Source organism: Homo sapiens, chromosome 10, assembly GCF_000001405.40.
Source record: "Homo sapiens chromosome 10, GRCh38.p14 Primary Assembly".
NCBI classification, from domain to species: Eukaryota; Metazoa; Chordata; class Mammalia; order Primates; family Hominidae; genus Homo; species Homo sapiens.
The window spans coordinates 77,590,376-77,612,491 of record NC_000010.11 but is presented as its reverse complement, the minus strand read 5'-3'; the positions used below and the strand labels follow the sequence as shown (position 1 = coordinate 77,612,491).

Here is a 22,116-nt window from a genome sequence, read left to right as displayed (position 1 = left end):
ATGAACCCCTCCAAATCTAGTTTCCACCAGAAGGGAGAGGAAGATGAATATTCATGGATCTTGATCTCTTTTTGCATCATTTACATTTTGCTTTCTCCAGATTTGAGGCTCCCCACCTGCCCCTGAGTTCTGAAGAATAATTGTTTCATGCATCACATTTTTACTGCATTGGGAGAAAAAGAGGGAAAAAGAAAATAAATTGGGAGAAGAAAAGATGATAGGACTTCTTGACTAGTTCAGCCAGTTTCGTGACCATGACCTAGAATGTGCCTGGGTCTTTGGCCATGTCCGTGAAATGTGCACATTATCTTTGGGATTTGCAGGAGCAAGGTCTGGTGCTGGGCTCTGATGTCCTGTGGCCTCCATATGTTCTTGGGAGGATGTTTTTGGATCTGGTTAGGTCCATGTGTTGGGAGCATTGGGAGCCAGGAGAAACCAGAATGCCACCAGGATTCCCATCTCTTTCTTCTCTGGACTCCTTTAGCTTGCACTGTTGCATTTCTTAAATCATGTCACTAGTCAAATATATACTTTACTGTTTTGTGGACCTTGATCTTGCCTTGCTGATTAGATTATGAACTCCTCTTTGGACTTATGATCAGAGTGCCTTGTCCTTCCCTGATGTGCTGTCCCCTGCGTACCTAGTCTTGTCTGAGCACACAGTACCTCGCCCCATGAATGCTTGCTGTGTGCACTGATTTTGCACACAGCAAGGGTTTTTGGTAAAGTTGTCTGTGGCTTGCCATTACAGGGACATAGGATTGGATCTAGATAAACCAGTAGAACAGTTTCTGTATCTAGACATCTGGGTGAACACTGGCCTTGGGGAACAGCAGAGAAGCTTGGAAAAAAAAATGATAATAAGTCACACTTAATGGAGAACTCGCTATGTGCCGGGCTGGGTATGAGGGACTTTACGTAGCTGAATCAGTGATAAGCTTTTGATTGCATGTAGCAGAAATGCTCACTTCAATGGGCTTAACATTAAAGGGACTCCATTGACTCATATAGTTGGAAAGGTGGATGACTTCAGATGAGCCTTGATCCGGTGGCTCAACGATGTCTCCATGGACCCAGTTTCTTTCTGTCACTCTAATCTGCTCTCCTTACAGTTGGCCTTGTCCTGAGGCTGGTTTGCCTCTGGGTTCACACATGGCTGCTGCAGCTCTGGAGGGCACATGCTGATCTGCTCAACCTTGTCAGGAAATAAATCACCTTTGCACCAGCATTCCTAGCACAGGTTCTGAGAGTTGCTGTAACTGAACTGGCTGAAGCCAGGGATTATTGTCAGTATCCTCAGAACCTTATGGATCTCAAATGGAAAACAAGGTCTGCAAGGAATGGGGAAGGTGGAAGTTTGGAAAGGAGTTAGCCAAAGTCCCCTACACATGGGTGGTTGCATTTAATCCTCATAGCATCCCTGTGAAATTGGCATGATTATCACCCCCATTTACAGACAAGGAAGCAGAGGCACAGAGAGGCCAAGTAATTTGGCTCAGTTCACATAGCTCATGGCTTAAGCCAGGAATTGAGCCTGGACAGTTGGACTCCAGAGCTTTGCTCTGCTAACCACTCCATGGCATTTTTCAATAAGTGCTTTTTTGTTTTTTTAATTGAGATAAAATTCCTTCTTTTAAAGTGTACATACAGTTCGGTAGTTTTTTAGCTTATTCGCAAAGTTGTGTAACCATCATTATTATCTACATTTTCATCACTCCAAAAGGAAGTCCTGTACCATTAAGCAGTCACTCCCTATTCCCTCTGCTCCCAGTCCCTGGCTGGTCTACTCTGTGTGGGCTCTCTGGATGTGCCTGATCTGGACACTTCATATAAGTGGAATCACACAATATGTGGCCTTTTGTGTCTGGCTTCTCTCACTTAGCCAATGGGAGTTTCTGACTAGGATCTACTGTGTCTGACCTCAAGGAATCTCCATTCCTATCTTTCCCAGCAGAAAAGAGACAGCACCGCTGGCCGACTCTGGAAGAAAGAGATTCTGTGCTAGAGAGAGAGAGAGCCTCCACCCTTGTACTCCGCTTACCTTTTGGGGCAGCCCGAGGCTGCGGCTCAGTGAGGGCAGCTATGGATATGCACAGTGAGGGTCATTCTGGATTCTCCGGCACCCTCTATGTGCCAAGGACTGTCTGAAGCCCTGGGAAACTGCAACAGAAAGGGCTGGGTTGGGTTTCAGTGTGTGTGGTGGGGGGTGCAGATAATCAACACTTCAGTAAATCAATGAATGAGATAATTTACAGTGGCACCATGAGACCACTGAACAGGGGATGGGATTGTGTGTGTTAGAGGGGCTGCTTTGGTGGGTAGCCAGAGAAGCCTCTTTTGAGGAGGAGATGGTCATATGGCAGAGGCAGGACTGAGGAGAAAGTGAGGGCCACACAGGATTTGGGCCAGAAAGCCGCAGGCAGAGGAGCAGCTGGTGCAGGGTGGGAACAGGGTGACCTGGCCTTTGGGCGAATTGGGGATGGTGGGTGACTGGCCGCCTTGTTTCTGTTTTCATCGCCTTGTTACTGCTTTTTCTAAATGGTTCCTCCCACACAGACATCTTTTACTTGCAGCTTCTGCTATGGAAGGTTTTGTCCACTGCTGACAGGCTGTGGGGAGTTCCATCCTTGAGTATGTTTGGGGCTTTATTTTCAGTCTGTGTTTTTGAAACTTGAGCCCTGACTTCCTCTTGTTCCTGACGCAGGCCTGAGAGTGCCAATTGGCTGTATTTTTTTTTTTAAAATGAACACTTATTATTAAAATTTTCTCTGGATAAATAAAAATTGTACTTGTTTATTGTATACAACATGTTGTTTTGAAATATGTATACATTGTGGAATGGCTGAATTGAGCTAATTATCGTATGCATTATCTCATATACCTATTTTTTGTGGTGAGAACACTGAAAATCTCTTTTCTTAGCAGTTTTCAAGAATACAATACATTGTTATTAATTGTTATCACCATGATGTACAGTAATAGATGTCTTGAATTTATTCCTCCTGTTTAACTGAAAGTTTGTACTCTTTGACCAGCATTCCTCTCCCATCCCAGCCCCTGGTAACCACTGTTCTGCTTTCTGCTCCTATGAGCTCAACTTTTTAAGAGTCCACATATAAATTAGATCACGTAGTATTTGTCTTCCTATCCCTGGCTTATTTCACTTAACATACTGTCCTCTAGGTTCATCCATGTTGTTGGAAATGGCAGGATATCCTTCTTTTTTAAAGGCTGAATAGTGTTCCACTGTGTACATGTACCACAATTTCTTTATCCATCATCCGTTGGTGGGCACTTAGATAGGTTCGATTTCTTGGCTATTGTGAATAATGCTGCTGTGAACATTGGAATGCAGACATCTCTTTGACGTACTGATTTCATTTCCTTTGGATATATAACCAGTAGTGAGATTGCTGGATCATATGGTAGTTCTATTTTTGATTTTTCTGAGGAACCTCCATACTGTTTTCCATAATGACTTTATCAATTTACAGTCCCACCAACAGTGTAACAGGGTTCTCTTTTCTTTATACCCACACCAGCACTTGCTCTCTCTCTCTCTCTTTTTTTGCTTATAGCCATTTTAACAGGTGTGAGGTTATAACTCATCGTGGCTTTGATTGTGTAGCCCTGATGATTAGTGATGTTGAGCACCTTTTTATATACCTGTGGGCCATTTGTATGCCTTCCTTGGAAAAATGTCTATGCAACGGTTCTTTTTGATAGAGATGTTAAATAAAGCAGTTCTGGGCAGAGGGAGATCAATGCAAGTGTCTATAACAGGCTGAGAGTTGATTCACTGGTGAACAGGACAACCAAGGTCCCTGCCCTCAGAGGTCTGAGCAATTCCATCATCAGTGACTAGATTGAACAGATAATCCCCTCTTACACACGTATATGCACACTTCAGCCTGGAGTGTGATGAGAGACTATGGACTATAATGCGTGTGTGTGTGGGGGTGCATCCTCTCCTTGGCCGGGGCTCAGGGAAGGCTTCCCTGCAGAAATGAGACCTACAGGCCCGGCATGGTGACTCATGACTGTAACCCCAGCACTTTCAGAGGTCAAGGCGGGTGGATCGCTTGAGCCCAGGAGTTTGAGACCAGCCTGGGCAACATGGCAAAACTCCATCTCTACGAAAAATACAAAAAATTAGCCAGGCGTGGTGGCACATCCCCGTAGTCCCAGCTACTCTTGAGGCTGAGATGGGATGATTGCTTGAGCCTGGGAGGTGGAGGTTGCAGTGAACCAAGATTGTATCATTGCACTCCTACCTGGGCAACAGAGTGAGACCCTGTCTCCAAAAAAAAGAAATGAGATCTACAGGATGAAGAGGCATTAGCCAGGGGTGGGTGCAGGGGGACGTGCAGAGGAATGGTGTCTTTGAAGACTCTGAGGCTGGAACAAAGCTTCATGGAAGGAATGAGAGCTGGAAGGACGGGGAGGACTTAGGCAGAAAGCAGCATAGTCCAGGCCACAGGGACCCTAGGAAAGAGGATGGAGGAAAGAGGATGACAATATGTTACGGGAAGGCAGGGATGGGTCTCTTTTGTGAATTACTTAACCCCTAATGGCTAGCAGTGTTGAGCAGGAGAAGGGACCTCTCGAGTGGCTGAGTGTGGGTGTCAGTTTTCCCTTGCTGCTGTAACGACCACAAACATAGTGCCTTAAGATAACACAAATATACTCCTACAGTTCTGAAGGCGAGAAGTCGGAAATCAGTTTCCCTGGGCTTTTAAAGTCAAAGCGTCTGCAGGGCTGGTTCCTTCTGGAGGCTCTGAGGGGCAAGTCGTTTTTCTTGCCTTTTGCAGCTTCCAGTAGCCACCTGCATCCCCAGTCTTGTGGCTTTCTGCTCCGTATCCAAAGCACATTGCTCCATCTCAGTTTCCATCATCACATCTCTTACTTTCTCTTCTGTGTCAAATCTCCCTCTACCTCCCTCTTTGAAGGACCTTTGTGATTGCATTTAGGGCCCACCTGGATGATCCAGGCTAATCTCTTCATCTCAAGGTCCTTAATTAAATTATGTCTGTAGAGTCCCTTGTGCCAGTTAAGGTCGCAGTCACAGATTCCAGGGATGAGGACGTGGACATCTTCTAGGGCCATGATTCAGCCCACCTCAGCATATAGATGAATGCCATTTTTATGGGAATCAGTGAGGCATGCTAAGCAGGAAGCAATGCCTTTTGCAAGCAGAGGTAGGAAGATCGGTCTAGTCCGTCAGCTGGCACTGGCCAGGCTCCACTGTCCATTATCCTCCTCACCTGCCCTAATCTTTCCTTTATTGCTCCTAAGTGATACCACGTAGCTTCTTCAGTCTCAAATCATCCTACTCAGACCCTTTTCTGACATTCAGAGCCTTCCTTATCCCACAGTTCTTTCTGTCCTTTTCCCTTCCTATCTGATAAATCCTTGTGAGTAGTTGACAAAAGAGTGCCTGAAGATGTCAGGGCAGAGGCTCACTTCTGGTCTGTCTAGTTGGGTGAGTCTGAACTTGAGGCCCCAGGGCTTATTGGAGGCAAACTGAGTCATGGAGAGGGAGAGTACAGTAAGGCCACTACCAAGGGCTGGCTGCAGAGGGTGCAAGGGTTGCACGGGTTTTGGGGTTGTTGGCTTCCCCAGAGGGGTTCTTTGTATGGTGTCAAGGTGCCTGTGGGCATTAGGTGACTAAAAGGACTGAACACGATAAACTCTTGGTGGCTCTTCCTGCTGCAGGAAGGGAATACTCCAAGTTCCCAGAGGAGACCACCCAGTGATGGAGTGAAGCTGCATCCTTGGCTCCCCTCAGCTCAGGACCCTCAGAAAGGACTTAGGAAGACGGGCACTGCCAGATACAGACGTCTTTCTGGACTCTAGGAAGGGGTGCCTTTTTTCTTTTCTTTAAGAGATAGTCTCACTCTGTTGCCCAGGCTAGAGTGCAGTGGCATGGTCATAACTTACTGCAGCCTTGAACTCCTGAGCTCAAGTGATCCTCCCACATCAGCCTCCCAAGTAGCTAGGACTACAGGTGCGCACTACTGTGCCCAGCTAATTTTTTAATTATTTTGTAGAGATGGGGTCTTGAACTCCCAGCCTCAAGCGATCGTCCCCTCTTGGCCTCCCAAAGCACTGGGATTACAGGTGTGAGCCACTGTGCCTGGCCAAAGATGCCTTTTTGAGGGCCATGAGGGGTTGCTGCTCTGGGTCTGGGCATTTCTCTGGAGGAGCTGCTTGTACAGCAATGATTGTCCCATCCCTCCTTTTAGTCCCACAGGTCAGAGTGGGACTTAGGACAGTGGGACAGTGGGACCCAAAACTTAAAGCCAGCCTGGTATTTCAGCAGTATTATCTGTTACCTAGAGAGAGGCTGATGCAGGGGTGTCTGGGAGGCTGGAGGGCTGCACCAAGGGTGGATGGCAGAGCCTGAGCCATGGGTCTAGGCCGCAGCACTGCCATGCGGCTGGGAAGATGGTAGTGTGTGGGTATAGTCATGGGTGTTGCGGCTTATCTGCACCTGCTTGCGTTCAGGCAGAAGCAGGGTAGCGTGGCATGGTGAGGACCATGGATTCAGTTCCAGCTCGGCTGCTGATAGCTGCATGACCTTGGGGAAGTTGCACATCCTCCATAAGTCCTAGTTTTCTATAACATGGGCATCCCTGATGTAGAGCATTTGTGCAGTTGTGTGTAAAGGATGTGGCAGTTAGGAAGCACCTACCAAGTGTGAGCCATTTCTGTTGTCATTGCCATGTATCAGCCAGCCTGAGGGCCTGCAGGGCCTGGCCTGGGATGTGGGAAAGCTTTCCAGAAAGGGAGCAGGAGATGGCGCCCTGTCACCTCCCTCAACTGGGCCAGAGTGTGGGGAGGCTGCTCGGGGCTTGCTCCTTCTGAAACACCCCTGACGACTGTCCCAGCAGAGGAGGGAGGCTGCCTTGGAAGCCTGGCTGCACTGTGTAGGGAGGGTACCCAGCAGAGGGCTGGGAGGTCTCCAGGCCCCTTTGAGCACTGACAGCCCATCATCTGACCTCTCCAGGAACCCACGAGAAAGCATGAGATGAACAGACAGACTTGGCTTGAAGCTCACTTCCTAGTTGTGTTACTCCTCAGGGCCTCAGTTTTGCCGCCTAAAAGATGGGAATCACGTCCCACTTGCCGGGTGCTTTGAAGCTCAGGAAAGATGAAGCATCTCTTTTAGAGGCCCTCAGGGCTGCAGGCACCATGCCAGCTCTTTCCTGTGTTACCTCCTTAACCCTCTTCAAGGAGGGCATCCGGGACAGTCCCTGGCAACTAGCAAGCACCCAACACAGGGCCCTTCTTACCAGGTGGCCTCTGAGGACCTTTCAGCCATGTGCCCCTGGGCTGCGGCTGGGCGCGGTCCTTGGGAGGGATGTCCCTCTGTGGTTCCTGGAAAGCCCGGCAGCTGGCTGCTTTGTTCTGGCCACTGGGTGTCTGCTGTTAGGACTGCGGGTTTTATGGCTGTTTCCTTGTGCTCAACCTTTTATAGGTGACCCTGTGTTTTTTGGAGCCACACCTGATGGGGGCCAAGGCCTTTGAAATGTTCCAGAGTCTTTATGGGCTGCAGCGGCATATGGTGGGTGGCCCAAGCTGCCTGACAAGGAAGGGGTGGGGGAGGGTGGAGGCAGGGAGGCCAGGACCTGCATTTCCAGGTGAGCCTGAGACCTCAGACGGATGTGTTGTTTTTCTAGTTGCCTACTTAGGTCTACTAATCTTTAGGAAGGAATGATAGCCTGGTTTATGGGATATGACATAAGTTTTTCTAAAAGGGACCTGAGATGAAGAATTAGGCAACTCTTTTTTTTGGGGGGCGGGGGATGGGGTTTTGCTCTGTTGTGCAGGCTGGAGTGCAGTGGTGCAATCATAGCTCACTGTAGCCTCCACCTCCTGAGTTCAAGCGACATAGGTGCACACCACCATGCCCAGCTAATTTTTTTTAATTAAGTAAATTTTTTGGGGGTAGAAATGAGGTCTCATTCTGTTGCCCAGGCTGGTCTTGAACTGCTGGCCTCAAGTGATCCTCCTGCCTCAGCCTCCCAAAGTACTGGGATTATAGAAGTGAGCCACTGTGCCTGGCCAACAACTTTTAAAAACTAAAATAAATATCATGCCTGCTGATTGTTTTTTCTTGAGACTTCTTTTTTTCTTCTCTTTCAGTTTCTGTTACTATGTCCCTCACTGTCCTTGACAAAAGAGGCTTTTTATGCCCACTGTGGGTTTTGCAGGTGATAGTTTAGTGTAGAATGGTAGTGAAAGCCATGGGCTTAGGGTCAGACAAAGCTTGGTTTGAATCCTGTCCCTACCACTGAACTGACTTGATTGTCACCTAGACTAGAGGAGCAACTCCTAGCATTCACTTCCTCGGGGCCAGGACAAGTTGGCATCCTGCTGCACACAGGGCAACCTGGAGAATCAAGAGAAGGCTGCCAGCCTCAGATGCCAGTGGCTCCCTAGGAAAGATAGTGTTAGTTGGTCCCCAGTAATATCTGGCCTTTATCACACACCTTTATGTGTCAGGCACCGTTGTGAGCAATTCACATTAGTCCTGGAGGCAGGAAATGTCATTAACCTCATGTTGCAGGTAGGGGAACTGAGGTTAAGTAACTTGTCTAAGGCCACACATGTAGCAAGTGGCAGAGGCAGGATTTGAATCAGGCAGCCCAATGCCAGTGTCTGCACTTAGAATCACTGAGAGCCATATTGCCTTTCTGAGGGCTGTTCTTGATCTGAGAGACTAGAGTCCTCTGTCAAGAGCTAGTACTGGGCAGCCCTGGGGGCTGGGTTGTGGGGTGTGGGCTGTGGAAGGAGTAAGGGAGGTGCTTTCTGCTGTGTAATGGGGCAGGTGGTTGGGTGTGAACTCGCCTGACTTACGGCCCCAGCTGTTTCCTCTTCTAACTCCTCCTCCCAGATGCCTGCCAGGATGCCAGAGGTTAGAGGGAGGTGTGTCCAATCATGGACTGGATCTGAGGTCCCTCTCCTTCCCTGCTTATGACACAAATGCTCAGACCCTGTTCTCCTGAAGGGACACAGAACCTGTCTCCCTGTTTGGATTGCAAGCTCCAGACTGCATCCTTGAAGTGGGACAACAGAGGGAAATCTATCTCAGCCTCATGATCCATGGACGCATCTCATTCAGTCCTGGGCTCCTTGCTGGCCCCTGGTGCTGCAGAAATCCATGGCTGAGGGGGTGGAGATGGGTGGGGGGGACCGAAGGAAGCTGTGCAAGCCTGACTCTGCAGGAAGTCCTGCGAACGCTGGCATTAAAAACACCATTGCCTGTTGCTTTATTTTTAGTGGTACAAGGAGCCCTGAGGGCACCAGGGGGGATGTGGGAATCCTATTTTTTGCTCTGTCTTGCTAATGGAACCTCTAGCAGTTTTTATGCCTGATTTGTTTCCCTCTGAAGTCTGTCATGCCTGCAGCCCCAGACTGTACTCTTCCTTGCACACAGCTCAGAGGAACATAGACGATGGTGTCAGCTGTTGGACTTGCAGCCCCACTTCCTGCCAGCCCCGGCTTCCCTGAGAAGGAAGAGGGCCGCCTCTCTTGTTTCATACCCTTCCCCATTCTTGGCTTGGTTACATTGTGCTTGTCAAATAAGCACTCAGCTCCCCTCTGAGATGAATGCATATTCCCGGAGGTGTCCCCTGGACATGCTCTGAGAATGTTCCCATGCTTGCTTTGGTTACTCAGAACCCCGAAATCCACGGGAGGGATGAGGGTGGTTGGCTGGCAGGAGGGGCTGCTGGAGGGCTGAACAAATGCCCGTGTGGGGTGCTGGTCTCCTATGGTAGGATTGCAAGGGCTGCTAGGTAGGACTGATATGTGCCCAGTGCCCAGGTGACAAATGACAGACAGCTTGTGGGGCAGGGAAGCACCTCCTAGTGTGCTACCTCCATATTCTTCTACACCATCAAATTTTAAAAACCGAGCTTTATTGAGGTATCACTCACATGCTATAAAATTTACTCATTTGCAGTGGTTTTTAGTATATACAGAGAGTTGTGCAATCATTGCTATTATTTAATTCCAGAACATTTTCATCAACCTAAAAGAAACAAACCCCATACCCATGAGCAGTCACTCCCCACACCCCTCCTTCCCCAGCCTCAGACGCTACTGAACTGCTGTCTGTCTGTACGGATTTGCCCCTTGTGGCCATTCCATCTAAATGTGCTCATACAATAGGTGGCCTTTCTGAGCCCGTGTCATGCTACAATAGTGAACCCCTATCCTATTCTATGACAGACATGAGAGTGCTCAGAACCTGAAGAGTTGGCATTATCACAAGCGCATCCCCGTCTCCCCCAAACCAGGCTTCAGTGCCAGGGCAGACATGGGAGACCTGGGAAGCCTGCCCCCAGATTTTGCTGTCAGGCATTGGTGAGTTTTGTGTCCCTCACAAGTGGGAATACATTCAAAAGACCCCTCCCACCAACTGGGATGGTGAAAAGTATAAAGGACAGTCTCATTCTCAGTGCCATTTAGAATAGGGCAGTTTTGATGAGGAGCAAGGTGAGTTTCTTAGGTGGTGTGGCTCTTCTCGAAATCAAGGGAGCTGGAGCTGGACTCCTGCTATATCCCTTGCTCAGAACTCTGTACTGCCTGGATCTGATCATTAGCAGAGTCTGCGCCACCTGCTTTGGCTCTTGGTCCAAAAAATTTGCTGTATCCTTGGCTTAGCTACTCTGTGTCCTTGAGGGCCAGGAGGTTGCCTTGAAGTCCATGTGGTTCCTGGTTGAGTCACTGACAAATAAAGTGGCCTTGGTGCTTACCAGGGCCCGGGGAGAGGAGACACCATGGTAATGACCTCAGACAATAAACAGACCATTGGGATTGGACTGTGGCCTCCAGTGTCTTGCTGACTCCTGTCTTGGAACCAAATGCAGAAGCTACTTTGTCCTGCAGCTGATGGGAATAAGCTGCCAGCAGATATTTTGGTGCCTAGATTATGAAAGGAGAGTCAATATGTAATCCACGGGTATAAAGGTCATCACATGGTCCGAGTCTAAGGCGATGGTGTTATTTGTGCTTGATTGGCGGAATCTTATGCTGACTGCTTCTTCACTTCACCATTTAGAGAGTGGACATCACACATTAGTCAATGGCACACATTTGGGTTTGAAGATAGGTTCAATTGTATCTCCGTGTTTTCATGACATCTTAGAGATCGTCCGTCCTTTTCACTCATGAGGCTTTGGGGTGGAGATAGTAAAGGTGGCTGATGTCCCTGGATGTGAGTGTGCTAGTTCAGCATGGGACCTCAGGCAGAACCTTCCCCACGTGAGCCCCAGTGACCTTCTCTGCCGAGACCCTGCCTCTTAGAGGTGTGAAGCTCAAAGGAGATCATGTTTCTGAATACATTTTGCAAAGGTGGCAAGGGCTGACCGTAAAAGCCAGGCAGTCAGACCTTCCTGCCTGTGAAGGGCCAAGATGAAGTCTCTCTTTTGCTTCGCAGATGAGAAAATTGACTTTGCTCAGTGGGAGGGATGTCTGACCATCTGAATCTGGGGAGAATCATTAAGTGCCCATTATGTGGCTGTCACTGTGTTAGGCAGTTTGACAAGCATACCCTGGAGCCTGGGAGGGGGAGTGGTGGAGTGGAGTGAGCTTAAGGACTGGAACAGAAGCCCTTGGTGCATGCCTGGGCGCTGTCACCTACTGACTATGTGACCTTGAACAAGGTGTGTCTGTGTATGTGTGTGTGTGCATGTGCGCATATGTGTGTGTGCATGTGTGTGTGTGTGTGTGTTTGAGATGGAGTTTCGCTCTGTCACCCAGGCTGCAGTGCAATGGCGTGACCTCAGCTCACCGCAACCTCTCCTCCTGGGTTCAAGCGATTCTCCTGCCTCAGCCTCCTGAGTAGCTGGGATTACAGGCATGTGCCACCAAGCCCGGCTAATTTTGTATTTTTAGTAGAGATGGGGTTTCTCCATGTTGGTCAGGCTGGTCTCAAACTGCCGACCTCAGGTGATCCACCTGCCTTGGCATCCCAAAGTTCTGGAATTATAGGCATAAGCCACTGTGCCCGGCCTCTGTGTGTGTGTTTTGTAGCAACTTCTCTGTGTCCTGATAGCCACAGGGGCTGCTGTGAGGACTAAGTGACGAGGTGTATGTCAGGTGCTTGGAATGTCAGTCCATCCCACCTCCTGCTCTCCCCACTAGGCTGCCACCTCCTCCTCCTCCATTACCTTTTGATAGGTCTGATTACCTTCATTTTACAGATGACTCTGGGTCACTCTTCATCTTTTGTAGAAATACCTCTGTAGCAAATGTCATGGGGACATTCTCATCTTTGGTAGCAGGGAGCTCACTGCCTCCTAGGTATGTTGTTCCATTTTGGAATAGCTTCATGTGAATCTTAGCATGTGCCAAGGTGGATGTGGAGTCTTTGCATCAGAATCCTGAACTGCTCATCCTGAAAAAATGATGCGATCAGCCTGCTTCCCACAGCGTATGCTCAGGGTGACTTCTTGTGACATGGAGATGGTTGGCAGTGAGCTTTCTCTTGTGACTTCACACAGGGACAAGTCTGTGGCATTTTAAGGACTAGTGAGAGTTCAGGATGGAGGTGAAGGAGATTGGCCCAGAGAGCTACAGAGTTGAGGAGAGGAGGGGTGGCACACAGGAGGACGGACCATCAGGGGCTCAGGCTGGCGGCTGAGGTGGGAGTGGTGTCATTATCTTCCGGGTCCCAGGCCTTGTTCCTCCTGACCCTGAAAGGCAGTATTGGGTAGAGGCATCCCCTTGTTTTGCAGACCTCTATTAAAACAAAGGAGAACAATCATGTAATGATCTCTCTAATTGCTGAAATGACATTCAATATGATCCAGTAGGTGCTTCATGATCACACATCGTCAACTCTGCGCAGTGGGAACTTACTTAATCTGAAGACAGATAGCTACTGAAATCTCTAGCAAACCTTATTCCTGATAGATAGACATGAGATGCAATCCCTTCAGGTTAAAAAGAAGACAAGAACGCCCACTATCACCTCTCTTATTCAACCTTGCACCCTAGGTCAGAGCCAGCGCAATACCACAAGAGAAAACCAATAGAGACATAAGTCTTGGAAAGGAAGAGATGAAGGCATCATTATTTTCTGGTGCAGCCATCATCTGGCTGGAGGAAATCGTAGACTCCGAATGTATAAATTATTAGAAGCAACAGAGTTGAGCCAGGTGGCCAAAGGTCAGATATTAAAATGCATATTAAATGCATTTTTGATAGACCAACAGCAAATAATTGGAAAACACAATAGAGGAAACCAAGGCTCCGTGTGGGGCGGGGTTTTGCATTATCCAGTGAGGCATCCACGCTGCTGATTCTCTTTCTAATGATATTTGTACAGCATGATAAAGCAGTATCGTATACATCCAGCCCACTGGGGCAAGGCAGATACCTTTATTTTGACTTTTAGGGAGGAAGAACCAGAGGCTCAGAGGTTAGAGCACCCTTGCCCAAGCTGACTCAGTGACTAGGAGGCTGAGCTGGGGCCTGGCCCCCTGGACCAACCCTCATTCCTTTTTGCTGCTTTCTACCCACCCCACCTTCTTCAGACCTTACTTTCTCCACCATTTGTCTTGTTCTGCCAGCTTTTCGTTGTCTGCCTCTAGTACCAGCTGAGCTGGGTGGGAGGGAGAGTCTGGGAGTGTTCGGATTTGGGTTAGCATCTACTCTGTAGTGTCTTTCATGAGCCACAGCCTGACCTTCCCAGGACGCTTGCTGCACTGGATGCGGGGCAGGGATGGGTTCTTCTGAGGGAGGAGAGAGCCAGGCGGTTGTTTGGCGTGGCCTGGGTCCCTCTCTCTTTGCGTTGTCTCCCCTCCCCTCCACACTGCTCCTCTGAGTCTGACTTACATCTTTGCTTTTTTGTTTTATTTAATGTGTGTTCAAAAGTTATAAAAATAGCATATGTTCACAGCAACTGGTGGAATCATAATATGGAGAAAAAGAAAGTCTTTCTTATTTACTGTTTGATGGCTCTCGGATGCCATGCACTCCTCTCCTGCAGCTTTCCTGGCCAAGTGCTTAGGGCCTAGGGTGGACCCTTCCACTTATTTCCCCAGGCCCGGGTCAAGATAGGCAAACAGGTTTTCCATTCATTCAGCAAAAATTTGCTGGATATTTACTGTGTGCTAGGTGCTGGGGATGCCACAGGGAACAAGACAGGGAAAAACCCTTGCCCTCTTGGAGCTGACAGTCCAGGGGATTAAAATATTTTACAGTGGGCCGGGTGCAGTGGCTCATGCCTGTAATCCCAGCACTTTGGGAGGCCAAGGTGGGCGGATCACTTGAGGTCATGAATTCAAGACCAGCCTGGCCAACATGGTGAAACCCTGTCTCTACTAAAAATACAAAAATTAGCCAGGTGTGGTGGCACACACCTGTAATCCAGCTACTGGGGAGGCTGAGGCAGGAGAATCACTTGAACCTGGGAGGCGGAGGTTGCAGTGAACCGAGATCGCGCCACTGCACTCCAGCCTGGGTGGCAAAGTGAGACTCAGTCTCAATAAAAATGAAAACAAAACAAAACAAAAATATCTTACAGAGAAGTGAATGCAGCCAATGATAAGTGCTATGGAGAAAAATAAAACAGGATAAAGTTCCTCCCTGTTTTGTAATTTTAAAGGAGGGATCAGGGTAGAATTCACTGAGAAGGTCAGTTTTGCACAGAGACCAAAAGGAACTTGGGAGAAAGCCATATGGCTTTCTGGGGAAGGAGCACTGAGGCCAAGGGTAAGTGCAAAGGCCCTGGGGCAGGATGTACCTAGAAATGTGTCCTGTCAATGGGACAGAGCAGAGCATGTGACAGGAATAAAGGCAGGAAATGAAGTCACAGAAGGAGGGGAAGGAATTGGAGGAGGGCAGATTGGGTAGGGCCTTGTGAGCCTTGTATATGGCTTTTCAGTTGTTTAATGAAAATGGGATCTTATTACATTCTTGTCCCCTGCCTCTTGCTTTTCTTTTTAAATTTCAATTTATTATTATTTATTGATACATAATATTTTACCTATTTATGGGGTATGTGTGATATTTGTTACATGTGTGGAATGTATAATGATCAAGTCAGGGAATTTGGGGTATCCATCACCTTGAGTATTTATCATTTCTATGTGTTGGGGACATCTGAAATTCTTTCTCTTCTAGCTACTTTGAAATATGCATTAGAAATATACAATACATTGTTGATAACTACGTTTTTCATCCTGAACATCTCTCCTGAGGCAGGAGAGATGAGATCTATATCTTCCTGTAGATATAGATCTCATTTTAAAATATAATTACAGAATTTTCACGGTATAGAGGTACCATAATTTTTTCAATCATTCTCTTTTGATGGACTTTCAGGTTGTTGTCAGGGTATGGTTTCTTTCTCCACTACATCTCATATATGTTGCCTTTCATGCTGGTGTTGAGAGAGCGGAATTCCTAAGTCAAAAGGTGTATGTCTATATAGAATATTAATAGACACTGTTAGATTTCGCTCCAGAAAGGTTGTCGCCAATTTCTCTGATATAATTCTGTTCCTAAGTCTCAGTTGCCTGGCTTTGCCCTCTAGTTGCTAAATAGCTACTCTGCAAAGAGGGGAAGTCACACCTATAAAAAGAGATGTCCCTGGAATCCTTCATCCCGTGGGAAGGTGTGTGGCCTTTTGGCATGTGCTGCTGGGAACAATATCATTCGCTCTTTTTTGGAGCTTGTATTTGATGGCTGTGACGTCAAAATAGCCAAGAAGATGAAAACACAGCTGTTGCTGTGTTATTTGCATTATGGCTAATTTTCCATATGTTTAAAATAAGCACAACACCAAGGAACTGCATGGAAACAGATTCACACCTTGTCGAACATTGGATTGTGCTCCCGTAGCATCTTAAGGATAATGCTTCCCCATAGCATCCCTTCTTGTGCGCATGTAAATCCTGGTACAACCTCTGTGGGTATGCGCTTGATTGCCAGTTCCCCCAACCCCCAATCTCCGGATGTTATGGAGCAGGATCGTGTAAACTTTGGGGTAGACTTTTCATCTGTTTAGTAGCCAAATGTATTTGTGTGATTTGTACTGTTGGACATTTAGGCCATGTCCCATCTGTTGCACTTCAAACAATGAATAATCTTGTGTATGAGTCTTTTTATGCATGTATGAGGATTTCTTTTGGATAGATTTCTAGAAGTGGAATTGCTGAATTGAAAGGGACTTGCCATTTACAAGTTGATAGATATTATGAAATTGATCTCTGGAGAGGAACCAGTGTCCCTGTCCACAGATAGTACAAGTGAGTGCCTTTTCCCTGCTTCTTCGGCAATTCGAGATCTTGCCACCCTTTTTGATTTTTGCCAGTCTAATGGGTGAGACGTGATTTATTTTGTATGAGTAAGGGTGAACATTACATGTTTGGGGGCCATTTGTTTTATGTTTGTGAATTGTCTTTCATGTCCTTTGTCCCCCACTTTTTTTCTAGTGGCTTATTAGTCTCTTATGTGGCCCAGCATGGCCTGTCCACATTAGGAGGGCATTTGATACTGTGATTGGATAAACTAACCTATCTGGGCTGGGGGCAGTGGCTCACGCCTGTAATCCCAGCACTTTGGGAGGTCGAGGCGGATGGATCACGAGGTCAGGAGTTCGAGACCAGCCTGGCCAATATGGGTCAGAAACCCAGTCTCTACTAAAAATATAAAAATTAGCCGGGCATGATGGCGCGCACCTGTAGTCCCAGCTACTTGGGAGGCTGAGGAGAAGAATCGCTTGAACCTGGGAGGCAAAGATTGCGCCACTGCACTCCAGCCTGGGCAACAGAGTGAGAGTCCATCTCAAAAAACAAAACAAAACAAAAACTAGCCTGTCTGGCTAGTTAGAGGTTGATCCGCGCTTCTTTATTGTCAGGAGTGTAAATCTATTAATAGGTGTTTGAGAAAAGGAAGAGCACCTCAGCAACAATCTAGATGGGAGCTGCATTTTGGTGTGTGCTGTACTGACTGTTCCACAAACAGGTTGAACACAGACGTCACAGAACTATGGGGCCCCGAAGTCCATGTGCCGGGGTACATCTTTTATATGGTCTCATTTTTATCCTATTACTGGGTGGAAGAATTATGAGGAAACTTGACTGTTTGCTACTAAAACCTTTTTTTTTTTTTTTTTTTTTTTTTGAGACAGAGTCTTGCTCTGTAACCCAGGCTGGAGTGCAGTGGCGTGATCTTGGCTCACTGCAACCTCCACTTCCCAGGTTCAAGTGATTCTCTGGCCGCAGTCTCCCCAGTAGCTGGGAATACAGGCGCCCACCACCATGCCCGGCTAATTTTTGGATTTTTTAGTAGAGATGGGGTTTCACTATATTGGCCAGGCTAGTCTCGAACTCCTCACCTCACGTGATCTGCCCGCCTTGGCCTCCCAAAGTGCTGGGATTACGGGCGTGAGCTACTGCGCCCGACCACTAAAACCTTTTTTTCCACTCACTTGAATTTACAACCTCATTGTGAGATTTTCTAGGCAGCTACTCCACTGGGACATTTTGCTAGTCCAGGTGGCCTAGCTGCTGTAGCAAGCAACCCTCAACTCCAGCCATGTAACACAATCAAAGGGTGTGTCTGTGGCTCTGCCCTTTCTAGGTACCCAGAATCCTCCTCTGGGTCTTCAGCTGGCAGAGGAGAAAAAGAGGGAGCAGGATCGTGTGTGAAGGCTTTATAGAGCAGATACTCTGCCCACATTCTGCTGGCCAGAACTTGATCTTCCAGTCCATCTAACTGGAGGGAGGCTGGGAAAGGCCAGCCATACGCCATTGTTATCAGTCCTGACCAGGTGCTTGGTGAACCATGGTCTCTTAGTGCCCTGTGGGACTTGTAAGTTTTTGAAGTGTCTTCTCAAGTGTGATCTCACTCCATCCTCATAGCACTGACAACCCTATGAGGAAGTAAGATGAGTGCTTCTAACTCCCAGTTCAGAACCGTGGAGACTGAGGTCTAGGGAGATAAGTGTCGTGGGCAAGGGTAGGCACTTAGGTAGGGACACAAATGGTAGGGAGACGGGGTTTGAACAAAGAGCTCTCATGCTGACTGGCCCCATCCGACAGGACACAAGAGCACCCACTCTGGGTGTGCCTGGGTCACCCTCTGCATGTAGTGGGCATGGGAGAAAAGGGCTGCTTAGCGAGGGGAAATTGGTGGCTGGCTGGAGTGCTTCTTCTATCCTAGAGTGTGGCAAGAAAGGAAGTTGTCTCTTGCCTTTTGCAAATTGCAACCGAATGGTGAGGGGTGACAGTATTGCTACTGGTAGGAAAGCTTGGATGGCAGGGACAGAACGGCTGTAAACCTGGCACCTCTGGGGGAGCTGCCCCCTCACCTTGACTTTGACCATTGTCCCTTTCTTTTCACTTTCATGGGACACTAGCGTTGAAAAATTGGGGCCTTTTTCTTCACACTCCCATTTCTCTTTATTTAATTATTTTAAAACATCTGATGCTGCAGTGAGATCAGCTGTGATACATCATCTGTTCTATTTTGAGCTGCAGGGAGACAAATGGAGAATACTGCTACCTCCCCTCCTGGCGAGGACTGTGCTCCCAGGAGCCCAATGGATGGACCGAGCCAAGGCAGCTCTGGGCACAATTTGGATGCTTTCCCCTCCAGGGGAATGCCTGGGTTTCCTTATTGTGCAGATGCCTTGAACTAACCTGGTCAAAAACTAGAGAGACAAAATCACAGATGGTTGCACAGGTTGTTGGAGTAGCAAAGACAGCACCAAGCAGCAGAAAGAAGATGAGGCATTGAGTCCTACGCTCAGGGCTGAGCACCGTCACTCCTAATTGAATGGCCACTGAACTTTGTTTCCTCATCTATGCCAAAGAAATAACATTTTTCCTACCACTTTCACTGGGTTCTTATGAGGATCACACAAGATAATGTGTATAAAAATGCTTTGTAAATGGAAAAGCACTCTGCAATTTAAGACATTATTATATTAATAGTAACAATTACCATTTCCAATTCTGGTGATTCACTTGGGGTAGGAGCCCATAGATCTCATCACTGCTACCATTACTACCCCACATTGTACTTCAAAGCTGCAATTACCTTGCACAATTTCATTTGATACATTACTGATTATGCAGTGTTAGAACTGGAAAGCATCTTGAGGATTAACTAATCCAAATGTATCGCTTTATAGATGGTGACCTGGCGCCTGGAAGGGAGAGACTTATTTGAGGTCCCTAGAACTCAGGACTGTGGGCTGTCATTCCTAGGGAGTAGGCTGTTTTACTTTGGATTATGGTTCCCTGTCCTTTCTGAAGGGCTAGACATGGGAACTTTGGGTGGGACGTTGATCCTTAGTCATTAGGTGGAGTCTCAGCCTGACTCATGTCTGCTTACTCACGTCAACCCTGCTCTGAGCTCCACTGCTCAAGGTTCTGGGCGCATGTGGACAGTGCTTAGAGGAGAAGCTCACATGCTGAGAAGCTTGGGCACAGGGTCAAAGAGAGGAGAAAGTAGGAACTAAAGTGGTTTGCTGGCAAGAAAAAGAGACCAGGGCAATTCCAGAACAAAGAAGGTGGAGGTGCTCCTGGTCTCAACCTTGGTCTTTATTGGACCCCACTGCCTTTGTGCGCTCTCTCTTACTGTCCACTCCAGGGGCTCAGGCTGCCGGGGCACACTCAGTGGGCACAGCTGCAGGACTGTGAGGCCTCCTCTAAAGAGAAGACTGAGGGTCCTCCAGCATTATTGTAAGTGTTCAAAGCGTGGTCAGAATTCATCTGGATAGAAGAACAAGCACAAACGGGTAAACATCCTGGCAAGACTGAGTTTGGCCTCATGTCATTCACAGTGCCACTGGTTGGCCCCTTTCCTGCCTCTGGGTCTTGCCCAAATGTCATCTTGCCCACATGTCACTTCTCTATTTAAGGATGCCAACTGCACCTCACCTCTTATTTGGACCATCTTTCCCAACTGGATTTGCCATCAAAATATTATACAGAAAATTTGCAAATTAGTACAGAGAATTCCTGTCTACCTGTTAGCCAGTTTCCCGTAATTGTTCACATCTTACATCACTATAGAAAAGAACAAGTTTCATGTTGGTCTAAAACTGCATGTCAAACTTTAAGCCTTCCTCAAATATCATCACTTTTCCCACTGATGCTGTTTTTCTTTTCCAGGATCCAGTCCAGGGTCCCACATTGCATGTACCCACCATGTCTCCTTAGTGTGCTTTTGTGACTCGTCTTTCCTTACCTTTCATGACTTTGACATTGGTGAAGAGTGCTGGTTAGTTATTTTCATAGGCGGTCTGTATATTTTGGTGTGTCTGATGTTTTCTAATGGTTAAAGCATATGGGTTTTTTTTTGTTTTATTTATTTATTGCTATTGATTGGGTCTCTCCTGCCACTGGAATATCTGCTCCCTCCGAGCAAGGATTCTCATTGGTCTCGTTCACTTGTGTGCAGGAACATCTGTGTGTGCCTCGCACCCATGCTCAGTCAATATTTGCTGGGCGAACGAATGAGACTGAACTCCCAGGCATTAGTGGAGCATCTGACCTGACCTGAGAGAAACGTGGAGAAGCTGGGTCCTGGCAGAGCCTTGATGGGCAGTTGGGCTGGATGGGCACTAAAGCCTCTTTCAGCATTCAGGTTCTGTGATTTTGTAACCTGATGGTGGTATCTGAACTCAAGCTAATTAAATTCCACAGGTGTTTGCTGAGGAAGTACTTGCTGTGGCATCCTGGGCTGGGCAAGGTGGGGGATTGATGGGCATGTGCGATCCAGGCTCTGAAATGCAACCACATTCCCAGGGAAGCCAGGAGCACAGGGATTGCATGTAAAACACAGGTGTCCAGTTAGTGGTTTAGAATCTAGACTTTGGATTAGTGGCTCCCAAACCACAGCCTGCTTTAGAATCACTAGGAGGACATTATTAAAACACCAATTGCTGGGTCCCACCCTCAGAGTTTCTAAGTTGCTTGGCCTGGGTGGGGCCTGAGAACTTCCAACAGCAGTTCCAGCAACTTCCCAGGTGGTGCTTATTGATGATGCTGGTCTCGCAACCCTATGTTGAGAAGTATTACTCTAGATGTTAAGAGAACACACAATTTACTGCTAATTAGCAAGAGCCAGGAGGGCTTCCTGGAGGAGGTGGTCAGGCTTGAGTAGGGTAGGATTTTCAGAGGTGGGTCTGAGGCTTGAATCTATACACAGCTGGCTTGCTGCCACCACATGCGATCTGTGGTGCCTTTTGCCTGCCTTTGCCCTGCTGGCACCTGGCCTCACTCGTGGCCTTGTCCAATCCTCTTGGTACATGAGTGATCTTGGCCAGGGGAGTCTGAGCCCCCAGAGGAGGAGGCTGACTAAGCCTTAGAATGGAGTTGACCTTGGCTGGCTGAGATGAAGTCCCTCTGAGGCCTGGACGTGGCCTGCGCTGCACAGCCTGCCTTAATGTGTTTATCTGCCTGGGCCTTGCTCGCTGTCTGCTGGCACCATATGAGGTGTTGCTGTTGAGCTCCGTGGCTCTATTTCTGTTTTCTCGCCTGGCACCAGCACAGCAGGGCAGATGAGGTGTGTGGCCACCCTTGGTTTCTTCCTGGCTCCAGGTTCTTCTTGAGGTGGGCATTTGGTCAGGAAGAACATTTGAGTCTCGCTAGAGTGTCTGGTACAGAAGCAGCTGGACCTTTTTCAGGAGGGAGAGGTTCTGGGAAGGAGGGAGAAAACCTTTAGAAATTTAAATAAATTTAGACTTAGCATCTGGCGGTGGTAGTGAGAGGTGACAGCGTGCTGGCAGTCCTCACAGCCCTCGCTCGCTCTGGGCGCCTCTTCTGCCTGGGCTCCCACTTTGGCGGCACTTGAGGAGCCCTTCAGACCGCTGCTGCACTGTGGGAGCCCCTTTCTGGGGTGGCCAAGGCCGGAGCCGGCTCCCTCAGCTTGCGGGGAGGTGTGGAGGGAGAGGCGCGGGCGGGAACAGGGGCTGCCAGCGGTGCTTGCGGGCCAGCGCGAGTTCCGGGTGGGTGTGGGCTCAGCGGGCTTAGCACTTGGGCCAGCAGCTGCTGTGCTCAATTTCTCACCGGGCCTTAGCTGCCTTCCCGCAGGGCAGGGCTCAGGACCTGCAGCCCGCCATGCCTGAGCCTCCCTGCCCCT

General features: G+C 48.2%; 1 protein-coding gene across 53 annotated transcripts in view, besides 1 other annotated feature; it reads left to right on the top strand.

Moving 5' to 3' along the window:
* KCNMA1 (potassium calcium-activated channel subfamily M alpha 1) overlaps nucleotides 1-22,116 on the top strand; it is a 768,207-nt gene that overhangs the window by 25,317 nt on the left and 720,774 nt on the right. The gene's annotated exons all lie outside the window — the stretch shown is intronic.
* Nucleotides 19,810-19,998: a silencer, noted in NCBI's record as "fragment chr10:79352252-79352440 (GRCh37/hg19 assembly coordinates)". NCBI's record gives its function as "represses an EF-1alpha promoter that drives an FKBP-Casp9 reporter gene in an ReSE screen in phorbol 12-myristate 13-acetate-treated (for megakaryocytic differentiation) K562 erythroleukemia cells {active_cell/tissue: K562(+PMA)}" and the evidence as "EXISTENCE:reporter gene assay evidence [ECO:0000049][PMID:32094911]".